The following is a 19,445-nucleotide window of genomic DNA, read 5'->3' on the forward strand; positions in this document are numbered from 1 at the left end:
CTAATTATTTTATATGGATATAAAAAGAAACCAGAAGAGCAAAAACAACTTAAAAGTGGAAAACAAAACCAGAGAACTTTATATAATTTTAAACTTCCTATAAATTCATAACAATGAAGATAATTTGATAATTGCATAAGGATAGGCATATATATATAAATGAAAATCTTAAAATAGACCAATATGTGTATGGTCAATTAATTTTTTACAAATGCACCAAGGCAATTCGATATGGAAATGATAGTTTTCAACAAATGAGGCTAGAACAATCACTATCAATATATCTTAAATTAAATGAACATAGGCTCTTATGCTGTACCATATACAAAAAAAACTTGAAATGGGCCAAACATGTAAGAACTATAACTATAAAACTATTAGAAGAAGACATTGGAAAAAAATCCTGGCAAACTTGGGGTAGGCAAAAATTTTCTTAAATAGGACACAAAAATCATGAACTACAAAAGAAAAATTTCTAATTTAGACTTCATAAAAATAAAATGCATTTGCTCTTCAAAAGACACTCAATAGGCTGGGCACGGTGGCTCACGCCTGTAATCCCAGCACTTTGGGAGGCTGAGGTGGGCAGATCACCTGAGGTCAGGAGTTCAAGACCAGCCTGACCAACATAGTGAAACCCCATCTCTACTAAAAATACAGAAATTAGCTGGGCATGGTGGTGGACACCTGTAATCCCAGCTACTCGGGAGGCTGAGGCAGGAGAATTGCTTGAACCTGGGAGGTGGAGGTTGCAGTGGGCCAAGATCATGCCATTGCACTGCAGCCTGGGTGACAGATCGAGACTCCATCTTGAAAAAAAAAAAAAAAAGACACTCAATAAAAAGCCACGCCTCAGGCTGGCAGAAAATATTTGCAAAACAGATCTCTAAGGAATTATTGAATGTGTAGTATCTACAGAAGGAAAACAATCCAATTATTTAAAAAACTGTGTGCAAAAGATTTGAACAGATACTTCATCAAAGAAGATATATAGTATATCAGCATTTGTAAAGACACTCAGCATCTTTCATAATTAGATAAATGGAAGTGAAAACCAAATGAAATACCATGACAAACCCATTAGAATGGCTAAAATTCAAATGACTGACAATCCCAGTTGGTAGTAAGGACATGTAGAAATTAGAACTCCCAATCACTGGCTGTAGTAATGCATTATGTAGAGCCATTTTGGAAAGCAGTGTCAGTTTTTCATAAAGTTAAACATGCATTTGACCCAAGCAATTTCAGTCCTGTATATTTACCCAAGAGAAATAAAATTCTCTTGACATAAAGATTCGTATGCATAGACACTTTAATCATAACAAACAAAAACTAAAAACAACCCAAATGTCCATCAGCTAGTGAACAGATAAACTGTGTTATGTCTACGCAGTGGAATACTAACCAGCAAAGGGGAAAAAACTGTGAATACATATAACAGCATAGATAAATCTCAAAATTAGTATGCAAAGTGAAGGAAGTCAGGTGTAAAAAATATACTGAATGATTCTATTAATATGAAATTTTGGAAAAGGCAAAACTATAGCAACAGAAAGAACATTGATGACTATTAGGAGCATTGAGTAGGGGAGAGGATTGGCTACAAAGGAGCATGAGGGAGCTTTCGGGATGGTGGTGTTCTACATCCTGATTGTGTTGGTGGATCTGCAAGTGTTTATATTTCTCAAAACTCATCAGATTTTACACTTTAAATGGTAGATTCTATTATATATATTATGCCCAAATAAAGCTGAGAAGAAGAGGACAAATTTTCAGATCCATCAAGCAAATGATCCCAAATAGCTTATATGAGGGAAATTTACATCTAAACACATTATAATGCAAATGAGGAAAATAAATATATAAAAAGCTAAAAGCAGCAAAAGAGAAAAGTAATTGTATGCAAAGGATCATTATTAAACTGGCAAACATCTCCTAATCACCAGCAATGGAAGTCATAATACAGTTGAATAATATCTTCAAAGACTAAGAGAAAATAATTTTCAACTTAGGATTGTAAATTCTTTTTTTTTTTTTTTTTCTGAGACCAAGTCTCACTCTGTCACCAGGCACCAGGCTGGAGTGCAGTGGCGTGATCTCGGCTCACTGCAACCTCTGGCTCCCGGGTTCAAGTGATTCTCCTGCCTCAGCCTCCTGAGTGGTTGGGACTACAGGTGCGTGCCAAACATGCCCAGCTAATTTTTGTATTTTTAGTAGAGATGGGGTTTCACCATGTTGGCCAGGATGCTCTTGATCTCTTGACCTTGTGATCTGCCTGCCTCAGCTTCCCAAAGTGCTAGGATTACAGGCGTGAGCCACCGCACCTGGCCGAAATTTGTTTAAGGTTAAGAGTGAAATGAAAATATTATTAGAAAAATGTAAGAGAAAACCAACACCAGGCTTTTCTAAATGAAGTCCTTCAGTAAAGGGAGAATAGTCCAAGAAGAAAGAATTGAGAATAGTTAAAGCCTGCAAATAACTGTATTTTTTTTTACAAAGAAGATAAAAGTATTGACTAACCTTAAAATGTAAGTTGAATATGAGTAATAAATCTTCCATGTAAATAAAAATTAAAATACCTATTTTACAAAAACTGCCAAACCTACCAAAAGAAAACAAATTTAAAAAGAGAAAATTTGATCAATCCAAAAAAAGGAAAGCAGAAAATAAGTGAAACATGGAAAATGAAAAAATTAAAAAGTTCACATATTACAATATGAATATATCAACAATCAAGTAAAATACAAAAGAACCAAAATCCCTAGTTAAAGATGGACATTTAACTTTCTTGGCTGTGGCAATTATTTTACTATATAGATGTATATCAAAACATCACATTGTAAACCTTAAATAAATGCAATTTTGTTTTAAAACTATGGCCTGGATTCTTAAAAATTTAGAATTTTGCAATTAGTTATATTTTGACTCACTCTATAGACTAATTATCAAAGGTGATGACATCTTAAAGCACACTTTGATATACCTATAGTAGCTTTCCTTTGGTTAATATTTGCATGGCATATCCTTTTACTATCAAATTTTCTGTGCTTTTATGAAGTTCTCAAATTTTGAGATGTGTATTTTTATATATCTTTTATGTATCTAAAAGATATATAAAAATACACATCTCAAAATTTGAGAACTTTTATGTATATAAAAGACATATAAATATCTTTCATATATCTATGTATATGAAAGGTATATAAAAGATATATGAAAGATATATCTTTTATGTCTTTCATATACCTATGTATAAATGTTTTCATATTTCTCTTATGATTGATTATTTGGCCCAAGACTTTTTTATGTGTCCACTTTAATTTTCAAATATATGGAAATTTGATTATCTTTTATAATTGATTTCTAACTGAATTACATTGTGACCAAAGAATGTGATCTGTATGATCTTAATGTAATCTTTGAATCTTTCTTATAAGCTAATATATCATCCATTTTTATAATTGTTTAATCTGGGAGTGACTATTCCTATGATTTTGGAGGAAGTGCTCTTGATATATTTCATTAGATCAAATATGTTAATTATATTATTAAACCTGCTATGTTGTCTTGTTGCCTAATTAAACCCCAATACAGTTGGAAATTAAAATCAAATCTATTAAAAAACACTTAGGTTTTCCAAATGGATATTCAACTGGCCCAGCAATTCCAAGTAAAATCCTGCCAGTATCTCTGTGTACCTGCATGCACATGTGCATGTATGCAGGCGTGTTTGTGTGTGTGTATGTGTATGTGTGTGTCAGAGAGAGAGAACTGACAAAACTACTTTTTTTAAATTGAAAAACAGGCTGTTTTATTTTATTTTATTATTATTATACTTTAAGTTTTAGGGTACATGTGCACAATGTGCAGGTTAGTTACATATGTATACATATGCCATGCTGGTGTGCTGCACCCATTAACTCGTCATTTAGCATTAGGTATATCTCCTACTGCTATCCCTCCCCCCTCCCCCCACCCCACAACAGTCCCCAGAGTCTGATGTTCCCCTTCCTGCGTCCATGTGTTCTCATTGTTCAATTCCCACCAATGAGTGAGAATATGTGGTGTTTGGTTTTTTGTTCTTGCGATAGTTTACTGAGAATGATGATTTCCAATTACATCCATGTCCCTACAAAGGACATGAACTCATCATTTTTTATGGCTGCATAGTATTCCATGGTGTATATGTGCCACATTTTCTTAATCCAGTCTATCATTGTTGGACATTTGGGTTGGTTCCAAGTCTTTGCTATTGTGAATAGTGCCACAATAAACATATGTGTGCATGTGTCTTTATAGCAGCATGATTTATAGTCGTTTGGGTATATACCCAGTAATGGGATGGCTGGGTGAAATGGTATTTCTAGTTCTAGATCCCTGAGGAATCGCCACACTGACTTCCACAATGGTTGAACTAGTTTACAGTCCCACCAACAGTGTAAAAGTGTTCCTATTTCTCCACATCCTCTCTAGCACCTGTTGTTTCCTGACTTTTTAATGATTGCCATTCTAACTGGTGTGAGATGGTATCTCATTCTGGTTTTGATTTGCATTTCTCTGATGGCTAGTGATGGTGAGCATTTTTTCATGTGTTTTTTGGCTGCATAAATGTCTTCTTTTGAGAAGTGTCTGTTCATGTCCTTCGCCCACTTTTTGATGGGGTTGTTTGTTTTTTTCTTGTAAATTTGTTTGAGTTCATTGTAGATTCTGGATATTAGCTCTTTGTCAGATGAGTAGGTTGCGAAAATTTTCTCCCATTTTGTAGGTTGCCTGTTCACTCTGATGGTAGTTTCTTTTGCTGTGCAGAAGCTCTTTAGTTTAATTAGATCCCATTTGTCAATTTCAGCTTTTGTTGCCATTGCTTTTGGTGTTTTAGACATGAAGTCCTTGCCCATGCCTATGTCCTGAATGGTAATGCCTAGGTTTTCTTCTAGGGTTTTTATGGTTTTAGGTCTAACGTTTAAGTCTTTAATCCATCTTGAATTAATTTTTGTATAAGGTGTAAGGAAGGGATCCAGTTTCAGCTTTCTACATATGGCTAGCCAGTTTTCCCAGCACCATTTATTAAATAGGGAATCCTTTCCCCATTGCTTGTTTTTGTCAGGTTTGTCAAAGATGAGATAGTTGTAGATATGCGGCGTTATTTCTGAGGGCTCTGTTCTGTTCCATTGATCTATATCTCTGTTTTGGTACCAGTACCATGCTGTTTTGGTTACTGTAGCTTTGTAGTATAGTTTGAAGTCAGGTAGCGTGATGCCTCCAGCTTTGTTCTTTTGGCTTAGCATTGACTTGGTGATGCAGGCTCTTTTTTGGTTCCATATGAACTTTAAAGTCGTTTTTTCCAATTCTGTGAAGAAAGTCATTGGTAGCTTAATGGGGATGGCATTGAATCTATAAATTACCTTGGGCAGTCTGGCCATTTTCACGATATTGATTCTTCCTACCCATGAGCATGGAATGTTCTTCCATTTGTTTGTATCCTCTTTTATTTCCTTGAGCAGTGGTTTGTAGTTATCCTTGAAGAGGTCCTTCACATCCCTTGTAAGTTGGATTCCTAGGTATTTTATTCTCTTTGAAGCAATTGTGAATGGGAGTTCACTCATGATTTGGCTCTCTGTTTGTCTGTTATTGGTGTATAAGAATGCTTCTGATTTTTGTACATTGATTTTGTATCCTGAGACTTTGCTGAAGTTGCTTATCAGCTTAAGGAGATTTTGGGCTGAGACAATGGCATTTTCTAGATATATAATCATGTCATCTGCAAACAGGGACAATTTGACTTCCTCTTTTCCTAATCGAATACCCTTTCTTTCCTTCTCCTGCCTAATTGCCCTGGCCAGAACTTCCAACACTATGTTGAATAGGAGTGGTGAGAGAGGGCATCCCTGTCTTGTGCCAGTTTTCAAAGGGAATGCTTCCAGTTTTTGCCCATTCAGTATGATATTGGCTGTGGGTTTGTCATAGATAGCTCTTATTATTTTGAGATACGTCCCATCAATACCTAATTTATTGAGAGTTTTTAGCATGAAGGGTCGTTGAATTTTGTCAAAGGCCTTTTCTGCATCTATTGAGATAATCATGTGGTTTTTGTCTTTGGTTCTGTTTATATGCTGGATTACATTTATTGATTTCCGTATATTGAACCAGCCTTGCATCCCAGGGATGAAGCCCACTTGATCATGGTGGATAAGCTTTTTGATGTGCTGCTGGATTCGGTTTGCCAGTATTTTATTGAGGATTTTTGCATCAATGTTCATCAAGGATATTGGTCTGAAATTCTCTTTTTTGGTTGTGTCTCTGCCCGGCTTTGGTATCAGGATGATGCTGGCCTCATAAAATGAGTTAAGGAGGATTCCCTCTTTTTCTATTGATTGGAATAGTTTCAGAAGGAATGGTACCAGTTCCTCCTTGTACCTCTGGTAGAATTCGGCTGTGAATCCATCTGGTCCTGGACTCTTTTTGGTTGGTAAGCTATTGATTATTGCCACAATTTCAGAGCCTGTTATTGGTCTATTCAGAGATTCAACTTCTTCCTGGTTTAGTCTTGGGAGGGTGTATGTGTCAAGGAATTTATCCATTTCTTCTAGATTTTCTGGTTTATTTGTGTAGAGGTGTTTGTAGTATTCTCTGATGGTAGTTTGTATTTCTGTGGGATCGGTGGTGATATCCCCTTTATCATTTCTTATTGTGTCTATTTGATTCTTCTCTCTTTTCGTCTTTATAATTCTTGCTAGCACTCTATCAATTTTGTTGATCCTTTCAAAAAACCAGCTCCTGGATTCATTAATTTTTTGAAGGGTTTTTTGTGTCTCTATTTCCTTCAGTTCTGCTCTGATTTTAGTTATTTCTTGCCTTCTGCTAGCTTTTGAATGTGTTTGCTCTTGCTTTTCTAGTTCTTTTAATTGTGATGTTAGGGTGTCAATTTTGGATCTTTCCTCCTTTCTCTTGTGGGCATTTAGTGCTATAAATTTCCCTCTACACACTGCTTTGAATGTGTCCCAGAGATTCTGGTATGTTGTGTCTTTGTTCTCGTTGGTTTCAAAGAACCTCTTTATTTCTTCCTTCATTTCGTTATGTACCCAGTAGTCATTCAGGAGCAGGTTGTTCAGTTTCCATGTAGTTGAGTGGTTTTGAGTGAGATTCTTAATCCTGAGTTCTAGTTTGATTGCACTGTGGTCTGAGAGATAGTTTGTTATAATTTCTGTTCTTTTACATTTGCTGAGGAGAGCTTTACTTCCAAGTATGTGGTCAATTTAGGAATAGATGTGGTGTGGTGCTGAAAAAAATGTATATTCTATTGATTTGGGGTGGAGAGTTCTGTAGATGTCTATTAGGTCCGCTCGGTGCAGAGCTGAGTTCAATTCCTGGGTATCCTTGTTGACTTTCTGTCTTGTTGATCTGTCTAATGTTGACAGTGGGGTGTTAAAGTCTCCCTATATTAATGTGTGGGAGTCTAAGTCTCTTTGTAGGTCACTCAGGACTTGCTTTATGAATCTTTGTGCTCCTGTATTGGGTGCATATATATTTAGGATAGTTAGCTCTTCTTGTTGAATTGATCCCTTGACCATTATGTAATGGCCTTCTTTGTGTCTTTTGATCTTTGTTGGTTTAAAGTCTGTTTCATCAGAGACTAGGATTGCAACCCCTGCCTTTTTTTGTTTTCCATTTGCTTGGTAGATCTTCCTCCATCCTTTTGTTTTGAGCCTATGTGTGTCTCTGCATGTGAGATGGGTTTCCTGAATACAGCACACTGATGGGTCTTAACTCTTTATCCAATTTGCCAGTCTGTGTCTTTAATTGGAGCATTTAGTCCATTTACATTTAAAGTTAATATTGTTATGTGTGAGTTTGATCCTGTCATGATGATGTTAGCTGGTTATTTTGCTCGTTAGTTGATGCAGTTTCTTCCTAGTCTCGATGGTCTTTACATTTTGGCATGATTTTGCAGCGGCTGGTACCCGTTGTTCCTTTCCATGTTTAGCGCTTCCTTCAGGAGCTCTTTTAGGGCAGGCCTGGTGGTGAGAAAACCTGTCATCATTTGCTTGTCTGTGAAGTATTTTATTTCTCCTTCACTTATGAAGCTTAGTTTGGCTGCATATGAAATTCTGGGTTGAAAATTATTTTCTTTAAGAATGTTGAATATTGGCCCCCACTCTCTTCTGGCTTGTAGAGTTTCTGCCGAGAGATCAGCTGTTAGTCTGATGGGCTTCTCTTTGAGGGTAACCCGACCTTTCTCTCTGGCTGCCCTTAACATTTTTTTCTTCATTTCCACTTTGGTGAATCTGACAATTATGTGTCTTGGAGTTGCTCTTCTCGAGGAGTATCTTTGTGGCGTTCTCTGTATTTCCTGAATCTGAATATTGGCCTGCCTTGCTAGATTGGGGAAGTTCTCCTGGATAATATCCTGCAGAGTGTTTTCCAACTTAGTTCCATTCTCCCTGTCACTTTCAGGTACACCAATCAGACGTAGATTTGGTCTTTTCACATAGTCCCATATTTCGTGGAGGCTTTGTTCATTTCTTTTTATTCTTTTTTCTCTAAACTTCCCTTCTCGCTTCATTTCATTCATTTCATCTTCCATCACTGATACCCTTTCTTCCAGTTGATCGCATTGGCTCCTGAGGCTTCTGCATTCTTCACGTAGTTTCGAGCCTTGGCTTTCAGCTCCATCAGCTCCTTTAAGCACTTCTCTGTATTGGTTATTCTAGTTATACATTCTTCTAAATTTTTTTCAAAGTTTTCAACTTCTTTGCCTTTGTTTTGAATTCCTCCTGTAGCTTGGAGTAGTTTGATCATCTAAAGCCTTCTTCTCTCAGCTCGTCAAAGTCATTCTCCATCCAGCTTTGTTCCATTGCTCGTAAGGAACTGCGTTCCTTGGAGGAGGAGAGGCACTCTGATTTTTAGAGTTTCCAGTTTTTCTGCTCTGTTTTTTCCCCATCTTTGTGGTTTTATCTACTTTTGGTCTTTGATGATGGTGATGTACAGATGGGTTTTTGGTGTGGATGTCCTTTCTGTTTGTTAGTTTTCCTTCTAACAGACAGGACCCTCAGCTGCAGGTCTGTTGGAGTACCCGGCTGTGTGAGGTGTCAGTCTGCCCCTGCTGGGGGGTGCCTCCCAGTTAGGCTGCTCGGGGGTCAGGGGTCAGGGACCCACTTGAGGAGGCAGTCTGCCCGTTCTCAGATCTCCAGCTGCGTGCTGGGAGAACCACTGCTCTCTTCAAAGCTGTCAGACAGGGACATTTAAGTCTGCAGAGGTTACTGCTGTCTTTTTCTTTGTCTGTGCCCTGCCCCCAGAGGTGGAGCCTACAGAGGCAGGCAGGCCTCCTTGAGCTGTGGTGGGCTCCACCCAGTTCGAGCTTCCCGGCTGCTTTGTTTACCTAATCAAGCCTGGGCAATGGCGGGCGCCCCTCCCCCAGCCTCGCTGCCGCCTTGCAGTTTGATCTCAGACTGCTGTGCTAGCAATCAGTGAGACTCCGTGGGTGTAGGACCCTCTGAGCCAGGTGGGGGATATAATCTCCTGGTGTGCCGTTTTTTAAGGCTGTCGGAAAAGCGCAGTATTCGGGTGGGAGTGACCCGATTTTCCAGGTGCCATCTGTCACCACTTTCTTTGACTAGGAAAGGGAACTCCCTGACGCCTTGTGCTTCCTGAGTGAGGCAATGCCTCGCCCTGCTTCGGCTCGCACACGGTGCGCGCACCCACTGACCTGCGCCCACTGTCTGGCACTCCCTAGTGAGATGAACCTGGTACCTCAGATGGAAATGCAGAAATCACCCATCTTCTGCCTTGCTCACACTGGGAGCTGTAGACCAGAGCTGTTCCTATTCTGCCATCTTGGCTCCTCCTTCTTCAGCACTCTTAACGTGTCATCCCAGTCCTTCCTGGCCTGCAAAGTTTCTGCTGAGAAGTCTGCTGCCAGACGTATTAGATCTTCCTTATATGTGATTTGCTTCTTTTCTCTCACTGTTTTCAGTATTCTCTCCTTGTCTTTACCCTTTGAGAGTTTGACTCTAATATGTCTTGGATTATCCTCATTTGTGTTTAATATGTTGGTGACATTTGGCCTTCCTGAACCTGGATATTTATGTGTTTCTCAGATTTGGAAAATTTTCTGTTATTATTTTTTAAAATAAGCTTTCTTCCCCTTTGCCTTCTCAGTTTCCTCTTTAACTTCAATAACCCAATTATTTGCTATTTTGATGTTGCCTCATAGATCCCATAATCTTTCTTCATTTTTTTCATTCTCTGTCTTTTTTGTCTTCTGACTGTGTATTTTAAAAGTTTGTCTTTCCAGCTCACTGATTCTTTCTGCTGCTTGATCAGTTCTTCTGTTGATGCTCTCTACTGCATTTTTTGTAATTATTATACTTTAAGCTCTAGGGTACATGTGCACAACATGCAGGTTTGTTACATATTTATACATGTGCCATGTTCGTGTGCTGCACCCATTAACTTGTCATTTACATTAGGTATATCTCCTAATGCTATCCCTCCCCCCCTACCCCCACCCCACAACAGGCCCCAGTGTGTGATGTTCCCCTTCCTGTGACCAAGTGTTCTCATTGTTCAATTCCCACCTATGAGTGAAAACATGCGGTGTTTGGTTTTTTGTCCTTGTGATAGTTTGCTGAGAATGATGGTTTCCAGCTTCATCCATGTCCCTACAAAGGACATGAACTCATCCTTTTTTATTGCTGCATAGTATTCCATGGTGTATATGTGCCACATTTTCTTAATCCAGTCTATCACTGATGGACACTTGGGTTGGTTCCAAGTCTTTGCTATTGTGAATAGTGCCGCAGTGAACATACATGTACATGTGTCTTTATAGCAGCATGATTTATAATCCTTTGGCTATATACCCAGTAATGGGATGGCTGGGTCAAATGGTATTTCTAGTTCTAGATCCTTGAGGAATTGCCACACTGTCTTCCACAATGGTTGAACTAGTCTACAGTCCCACCAACAGTGTAAAAGTATTCCTATTTCTCCACATCCTCTCCAGCACCTGTTGTTTCCTGACTTTTTAATGATTGCCATTCTAACTGGTGTGAGATGGTACCTCATTGTGGTTTTGATTTGCATTTCTCTGATGGCCAGTGATGATGAGCATTTTTTCATGTGTCTTTTGGCTGCATAAATGTCTTCTTTTGAGAAGTGTCTGTTCATATCCTTTGCCCACTTTTTGATGGGGTTGTTTGTTTTTTTCTTGTAAATTTGTTGGAGTTCTTTGTAGATTCTCGTTATTAGCCCTTTGTCAGATGAGTAGATTGCAAAAATTTTCTCCCATTTTGTAGGTTGCCTGTTCACTCTGATGGTAGTTTCTTTTGCTGTGCAGAAGCTCTTTAGTTTAATTAGATCCCATTTGTCAATTTTGGCTTTTGTTGCCATTGCTTTTGGTGTTTTAGACATGAAGTCCTTGCCCATGCCTATGTCCTGAATGGTATCACATAGGTTTTCTTCTAGGGTTTTTATGGTTTCAGGTCTAACATGTAAGTGTTTAATTCGTCTTGAATTAATTTTTGTATAAGGTGTAAGGAAGGGATCCAGTTTCAGCTTTCTACATATGGCTAGCCAGTTTTCCCAGTACCATTTGTTAAATAGGGAATCCTTTCCCCATTGCTTGTTTTTGTCAGGTTTGTCAAAGATCAGATGGTTGTAGATGTGTGGTATTATTTATGAGGTCTCTGTTTCTGTTCCATTGGTCTATATCTCTGTTTTGGTAGCAGTACCATGCTGTTTTGGTTACTGTAGCCTTGTAGTATAGTTTGAAGTCAGGTAGCGTGATGCCTCCAGCTTTGTTCTTTTGGCTTAGGATTGTCTTGGCAATGCAGGCTCTTTTTTGTTTCCATATGAACTTTAAAGTCGTTTCTTCCAATTCTGTGAAGAAAGTCATTGGTAGCTTGATGGGGATGGCATTGAATCTATAAATTACCTTGGGTACTATGGTCATTTTCACGATATTGATTCTTCCTATCCATGAGCATGGAATGTTCTTCCATTTGTTTGTGTCCTCTTTTATTTTGTTGAGCAGTGGTTTATAGTTATCCTTGAAGAGGTCCTTCACATCCCTTGTAAGTTGGATTCCTAGGTATTTTATTCTCTTTGAAGCAATTGTGAATGGGAGTTCACTCATGATTTGGCTCCTGTTAGTCTGTTATTGATGTATAAGATGCTTGTGATTTTTGCACATTGATTTTATATCCTGAGACTTTGCTGAAGTTGCTTATCAGCTTAAGGAGATTTTGGGCTGAGACAATGGGGTTTTCTAAATATACAATCATGTCATCTGCAAACAGGGACAATTTGACTTCCTCTTTTCCTAATTGAATACCGTTTATTTCCTTCTCCTGCCTAATTGCCCTGGCCAGAACTTCCAACAGTATGTTGAATAGGAGTCTCTACTGCATTTTTTATTTCCTTCATCGTATTTTCACCTCCAGTATTTCTGTTCAATTTTTAAAAATTGTTTCAATCTGTTAAATTTATGAGGCCGTATTTCCCTGAATATTCTTGATGCTTGTTGATGGGCAACAATGTCTGTGCAGTGAGGGCTGGGTATTTATTTTAGTCTTCAAAGACTGGCTTTGTTTCCTTCTGTCTTTCTTCAGAGGACCTTCAAAGATTCTAAGGAAAATGACTATTGTGTTCCCTGAACCTGTAATCACTTCAGCCATCCCAGCACTAGAGGATCCTCTAAGCCCAGGCTTGCCATGAGTCTCCTGAGGGGCTTCAAGGTTGACATGGCTTTCCAGCCCAGATGAACCTGTGGAAGACCCAAGTGGGGGTACTTGGCTGTGTGGGAATGCTGGCTAGGGACCTGAGACCAGAAGACTGTCCCAATGACCCAGATGAGTGTGCCCCCAGCAGATCTCTGTACAAACAATGTTGAACAGAGGTGGCAAGAATGAATCTGCTAGTCTTGTTCCTAATCCTGGGGGAAAGCTTTCAGTCTTTCACCACTAAGTATGAGGTTAGCTGTGAGTTATTTTTTGATGCCTTTTATCAAGTTGAGAAAGCTCCCTTCTGTTCTTAGTGTGTTGAGTGTTTTTATCCTGAAAGAATGATGGATTTTGTCAATACTTTTTCTGCATGTATTGAGATGATCTTTTTTTATTCTGTTGGTATTGTGCATTACAGTAATTGCATTACATAATTTCAGATGTTGAGCCAACTTCTTTATTCTACTGATTGTTTCCTTTGTTGTACAGAAACTATTTAGCTTGATATAATCTCATTTGTCTATTTTTTTGTTCTTATTGCCTGTGCTTTTGAGGTCTTACCCAAAAAATCTCTGCCCTGCCCAGACCAATGTCCTGAAGTGTTTTCCCAATTTTTTTTCTAGTAGATTCATAGTTTCACATCTTATATTTACATCTTTAACCCATTTAGAGTTGATTTTTGTCTATGGTGAGAGATGGAGGTCCAATTTTATTCTTGTGCATATAGATATCTAGTTTTCCCAGCACCATTTATTGAATAAATTTTCCCAATGAATATTCTTGGCATCTTTGTCAAAATGATTTGGCTGTAAACATGTGGATTTATTTCTGGGTTCTCAATTCTTATTCTTATAATTTTTTATTATATATGTCTGTTTTTATGCCAGTAACATGCTGTTTTTGTTACTATAGCTTTGTAGTATATTTTGAAGTCAGATAGTGTGATGTTTCCAGCTTTATTCAGATTGCTTTTGTTATTCAGGGTCTTTTGCGAATCCATACAAAAGCTAGGATTGTTTTTTCTATTTCTGTGAAGAAAGTCATTGGTATTTTGATAGAGATCACACTGAATCTGTAGATTGCTTTGGGTAATATGAACATTTTGACAATATTCAATATTGGTGATAGCCAATGCCTATGGAACAAGCGAAATTGAATTTAACAGTGGACTACAAATGGACTTAGCCTAAAAACCACTCACTCCAGGCCTCACTTGCTGATCAAATGTGGCTAAAAGAATTTTGATATGGACTTCTTGTCACCAGTCACTCTCTCCAATGTGTAACCAGACCAACAACTTGGGACAGGTCTATCCCAGTCACAACTGGCAGTCAAAACCTAACAACAGGATGACTGATCAGTGATGCTTTTGGAGAACGATCTCCATCAAAAGAGGCTAATGGCAAAGTCATCAGAATCAAAATGGTATCACTTGTATTAACAACCCTGGAAAATGAAGCCAGGGAAGGCCAGAAAGGGAGGGTTCTCACACACGAATGCCTCATAACAAGAACTATCACAAAGGACTGCAGAAACTACAACCCTGCACAAAGGCCGCTGAAACCTCACACACACGCACAAAACACTTCTGTGCGAACATCTGCCCAGCAACTACCTGTCTCACCTCAGACTGTCACCACCCTTGTTATTGATTCCTGTAGCCAAGGATAATTATCTCAAACAATCGAGTAATCCTCATTTTTCTCAGCTTTCCTTTAAAAACTTTTACCTTCCTGAATATGCACATCATTTACTATGGCACATGTATTCTCATTGCAATGCCCATTCCCAAATAAATATCATTCATTTTAAAGAGCCTCTCTCTCACTGTTATTTAGGTTCAACAACATTTATTGAACACTAAAAGCAAGAACGGCAAAGCACACATTTCTTTCAAGCACACCTGGAACATTCATTAAGACAGACTACACCCTTGACCACTGGAGGATATGCTTTTATTTTTGCTCATGAAATATATAACAAGAATGACTATATGCTGGGTCATACAAAAGCCTAAAAGTCCTCAAAGAATTGAAATAATACCAAGTATGATATTTGAAAACAATGGAACTAAGCAAGAAAAATACTAGTAATAATCAGAAAATCACCAATTATTTGGAAATGATGCCATGCATTTCTAAACAGCCTGAGAGTCAAATAAAAAATATCAATGAAAATTAGAAAATATTAAAGATGGTAACAAAAATACAACATATCAAAATTTGTGAGATGCGACTAGTACAGTGAAAAAAAATTTCTAGCTCTAAATGCATGCAATAGAAAAAGGGGTGAAAAATCAATGGTATCTACTTCAACATTAAATAGGTAGGGGGAAAAAGCAACTTATTCCGAAAGAAAATAGAAAAAAGTAAACAATAAAAACAAATGTGAAAAGCAATGAAATGCAAGCAGTTACACAATACAGAAAAATCGACCAAACCAAAATTTGATCTTTTGAAAAGATTACTAAAATTAACAAACTCCTACCAAGACTGATCAAAGAAAAAGAAGAAAACAAAAATCAAAATTTTGGGAATGACAAAGGATATCACCAAAGATAATAAAAACATTAAAAAGATAATAAGCAATTTTAAATTTACTATAAATTTGTAGCATGCAAGATAGTACTGTGTTTATATGAAGATAGAAAATAGATTAATTAAAGATTAAATAAAGTTTAGACAAACCCACAGAGATATGGTTTGGCTCTGTGTTTCCACCCAAATCTCATGTTGAATTGTGATCCCCAGTGTTGGGGGAGGGATCGGTGGGAGGTGATTGGATCACAGGGGTGGGTTTCCCCCTTGCTATTCTCATGGTAGTGAGCGACTTCTCACAAGATTTGGTTGTTCAAAAGTGTGTAGCCCTTCCCCCTTTGTTATCTATCCTGCTGGCCATGTGAAGATGTACTTCCCCTTCACCTTCCACCATGATTGTAAGTTTCCTGAGGCCTCTCCAGCCATGCTTCCTGTACAGCCTACAGAACAGCGAGCCAATTAAACCTCTTTGCCTCATAAATTACCCAGTTTCAGGTAGTTCTTTATGACAATGTGAGAACGGACTAATACACGCAGTTACCTGGTTAATTGAAATACATTTTTTTCTAAAGTAAAACCTAAACATGAAAGCTAAAGTTTTGAAGCTCCTAGAAAAAGATTGTTAGCTAATGTCTTCACAATCTTGAGTTAAATATATTTCATACAAGACACAGTCTCTTGAAATCCCCAAACAAGAAATAATGGGTAATTGGACTTTATATAAATTAAAATTTTATGTCCATCAAAAGACAATGTTAGAAAAATAAGAATTAAGCCACAGACTGGGAGAAAATATTCACAATACATATAGCTGATGGATTAATATACAATACATATGAATTAAAAATTCTTATAAATTATTAAAAGACAATCTAATAAAATGGGTATACAAATTAATAAAAAGAAGATATATAAATAATAAGCACCTGAAAAGAGTCCGATATCATTAGTTATTGGGGAAATAAAAATTAAAACCACGATTAGGTAGGATGTCATGTTGGTGTTATTACAATTCTTTGAAGATTTTTAGGCTTTTGTATGACCCAACATATAATCATTCTTGTTATATATTTCATGAACAAAAATAAAAACATATCCTTCAGTGGCCGAGTGTATTATCTGTCTTCGTGAACGTTCCATGTGTTCGCTCATACACTCTAGGATGGCAAAAATAGCTATAAGATTTCTGTAGAGAGAATATTTTGTTTTCTGAGTTATTTACCTGATGAAACTGAGGTCCAAAGAGGATAAGTGAACTTCACAAAGTAACAGAGCAGTTCATTTAGAGTTTGAGGACTGGGACTGGCAATAAAACAGGTTTTTCTCACAATGAATGCGTTGGAGACTGGAATTCCCAGATGTCTCTACCACTTTCAGCAGGGAGCTCTGGGGATTGTGCCAGAAACTACATGTAGGTAACTCCTCTCTTCCTAGGGTTCTAATCAGTCTGGCTGATTCAGGATCCATGGTGCTGCTCTCATTTCCCCTTCCTTGGAGCAGAAGAGGGTTCCGTGTCCCAGGAGGCCCTTCTGCATTAAACATAGGGGAAGATGATGTCTTTTCATGTGATCCTCAAATATAGCTTTTCTACTCTTGACACGTGAGAACCTAAAGCAGAACACTGAAACCTCTACCTTAGCATGAATAAATGAGGAACTCTTCTTGGCCCAATCCAGAACTGACAGTAAGTTATTGGTCACACCTCTCATTTTTTGGTCAATCAAGAGAATCAGAATGGTCCATGGAAATAGTTTCAGGAACCCTGTTGTTGCTATCAGTCATAGTGCTGATCTTGGATGAATTCAGCAGCCCTTTAAGATTCTGTTTACTCATTCACCAAATAAGGGAGTTGTATTAGGTGGCTTAACATGTTTAGTCCCTAAAGGCTAGAGTGGCTAGATAGCTTTGATCCAGAGCACTATTTTACCAGGTTGTGATCTATATCCCTAGTCCCTGAAACCATAATTTCCTGAAATTTCCATGTACCCCTGAGAGAGGTTTGGCATGTGAACAAAACATGTCAGGTCAGGTTTCCTGAGTTTTCACATGCAGGAAAACAAGCGATTTGGGGGAACATTTATCAGCATTGGGAAGGATCACAAAGGAGCAGACTCAGACCTACTAGGAGATGTGTTCATATTAAATCTGAATCCCAAGCATTAATTTTCCCAGCATTCTTTTTTAAATTAAAACAAACCAATGTTCAGTTTAAATGCAAAAGATCAACAAATCAAGCATTCAGTATTTGTATAAATATGCGATTGATTAGACTAATTCAACATCCAACAATACTTTTTTTTTCCTTTTCACAAACAAGTTTGAACACCTTCTATGTACTAAAACTAATGCTGGGCAATCTAAGATCTTCATTAAGGGTAGTCTGTTTTATTAACTATGTAAGTAAAAAGCAATGCCGGTAGCTAAATGATTACACCATACACTTTTGTCATAGCTTAAAAATCATTTTACCACCGATCTGTTTCCTATCTTATTGAATAGATGATTACCGAGTACATATTAAGAAGAAACAAGATGAATAAAAATGAGTCTCTGGCACTAAGGGACAAATAGTCTAATGGTAATAAGCAGACAATTATAAAGCAATATGTCAAATATTCTACCAGAGACCCATAGAAAGGACTGCGGGGGGCAAGAGCATAAAACAATGAACTTCAACAGGAAAACATGTAAAATACTCTCAGAAGTTGACACCTGACCTCTTGCCTGGTGGAGAGGAGGAAGCACCCAAGAAGGGGAATAGGAATGGCAAATCATGGGGCCAGGAAGATGAGTTGTTCGGGGACTGTGAGTGGCTTCATGGGTAAGAAGGTGGGGTGCCCTGGTATGAGGGAGAATTCTCATTGGATGATAGAGGAAGACAGAATCATGAAGGGCTGATTATGTCATGATATGAAATAGCATGAACAATTTCCTGATGGCAGTAAGAGGCTATGTTACAGCAGCCTGTAACATAGATGCAAGTCCCAAGTAGGGTATTCTTTTCTCTGAGCAATGCTAGAGACAAATTAAGGTGTAGCTTTGGGGGCAAATGAAAGATTTGATGCCTTGTTTGTATTTAAGAATATATAAATCTAACAAATATAATAAGGCCATTTTAGAACAAAGAAGGGTTTAGGAGCTGAAATAGACCATCTAAAGCTTAGATTTTTAAATCCAAGTGGCCAGGAGAAGAGAAACCAAGGATTCATTTACCCTTCTTCACAGGCAGGGAAACTATAATAGATTTCAGAGACAATAAATGAATTATTCAAACCCATATTATTGGGCTTGATGCAGAAGGCTAATTAAGATTTTCTTAGTGCAAACTAAAGTTTTTTTTACCATTACACTGTTCAACCTAAATATTCTCTTCAGAAACAAATAAGTGAGTCTAATGCACTGTTTTTAAGTGTATAGATACAGTAGAGTTCAGATTTTGAGTAGCGGATAAGAAATGCTCCCCAGACGGGCTGGGCACGGTGGCTCACGCCTGTAATCCCAGCACTTTGGGAGGCCGAGGCGGGCGGATCACGAGGCCAGGAGTTCAAGACCAGCCTGGCCAAGATGGTGAAACCCCGTCTCTAATAAAAACACAAAAATTAGCTGGGCGTGGTGGAAAGCGCCTGTAATCCGAGCTACTCAGGAGGCTGAGGCAGAGAATTGCTTGAACTCGGGAGGCAAAGTTTGCAGTGAGCCGAGATTGCACCACTGCACTCCAGCCTGGGCAACAGAGCGAAACTCCATCTCAAAAAAAAAAAAAAAAAAAAATGAAATGCTCCCCAGATGATTGTGAGACACACCTTCAGCTTAAACCCACTGACCAGGATGTGACAGTATCTATCATCATAATAAAATTGAAACCGAATGACATACCTTTTCCCCAAAGTCAATTGTTTTAAGTTTTATTAGTTTACTTGCTTAGAATTTCTGGATAATTCTGAGAACATTAATTCATGTTAATAAAATTTTATTTGGAGTCAATGTAATTGGACTGCATGTTTTTATTAAATAATGAAATTCCTTTATTCATTATTTAATAAAAACTTGCAACCTGAAGGTGTGTATCCCTTGGGAAAGAAAAGTGTAAACTGGAATAAATGTTACTTGTTTCTAACTCTTACTGTAAAGATGATATAAATAAATGAATATGACAAAAATTATCACTGTACATCTGCTATCTGCTTAGCTT

Source organism: Homo sapiens, chromosome 9, assembly GCF_000001405.40.
Source record: "Homo sapiens chromosome 9, GRCh38.p14 Primary Assembly".
Classification (NCBI taxonomy): Eukaryota; Metazoa; Chordata; class Mammalia; order Primates; family Hominidae; genus Homo; species Homo sapiens.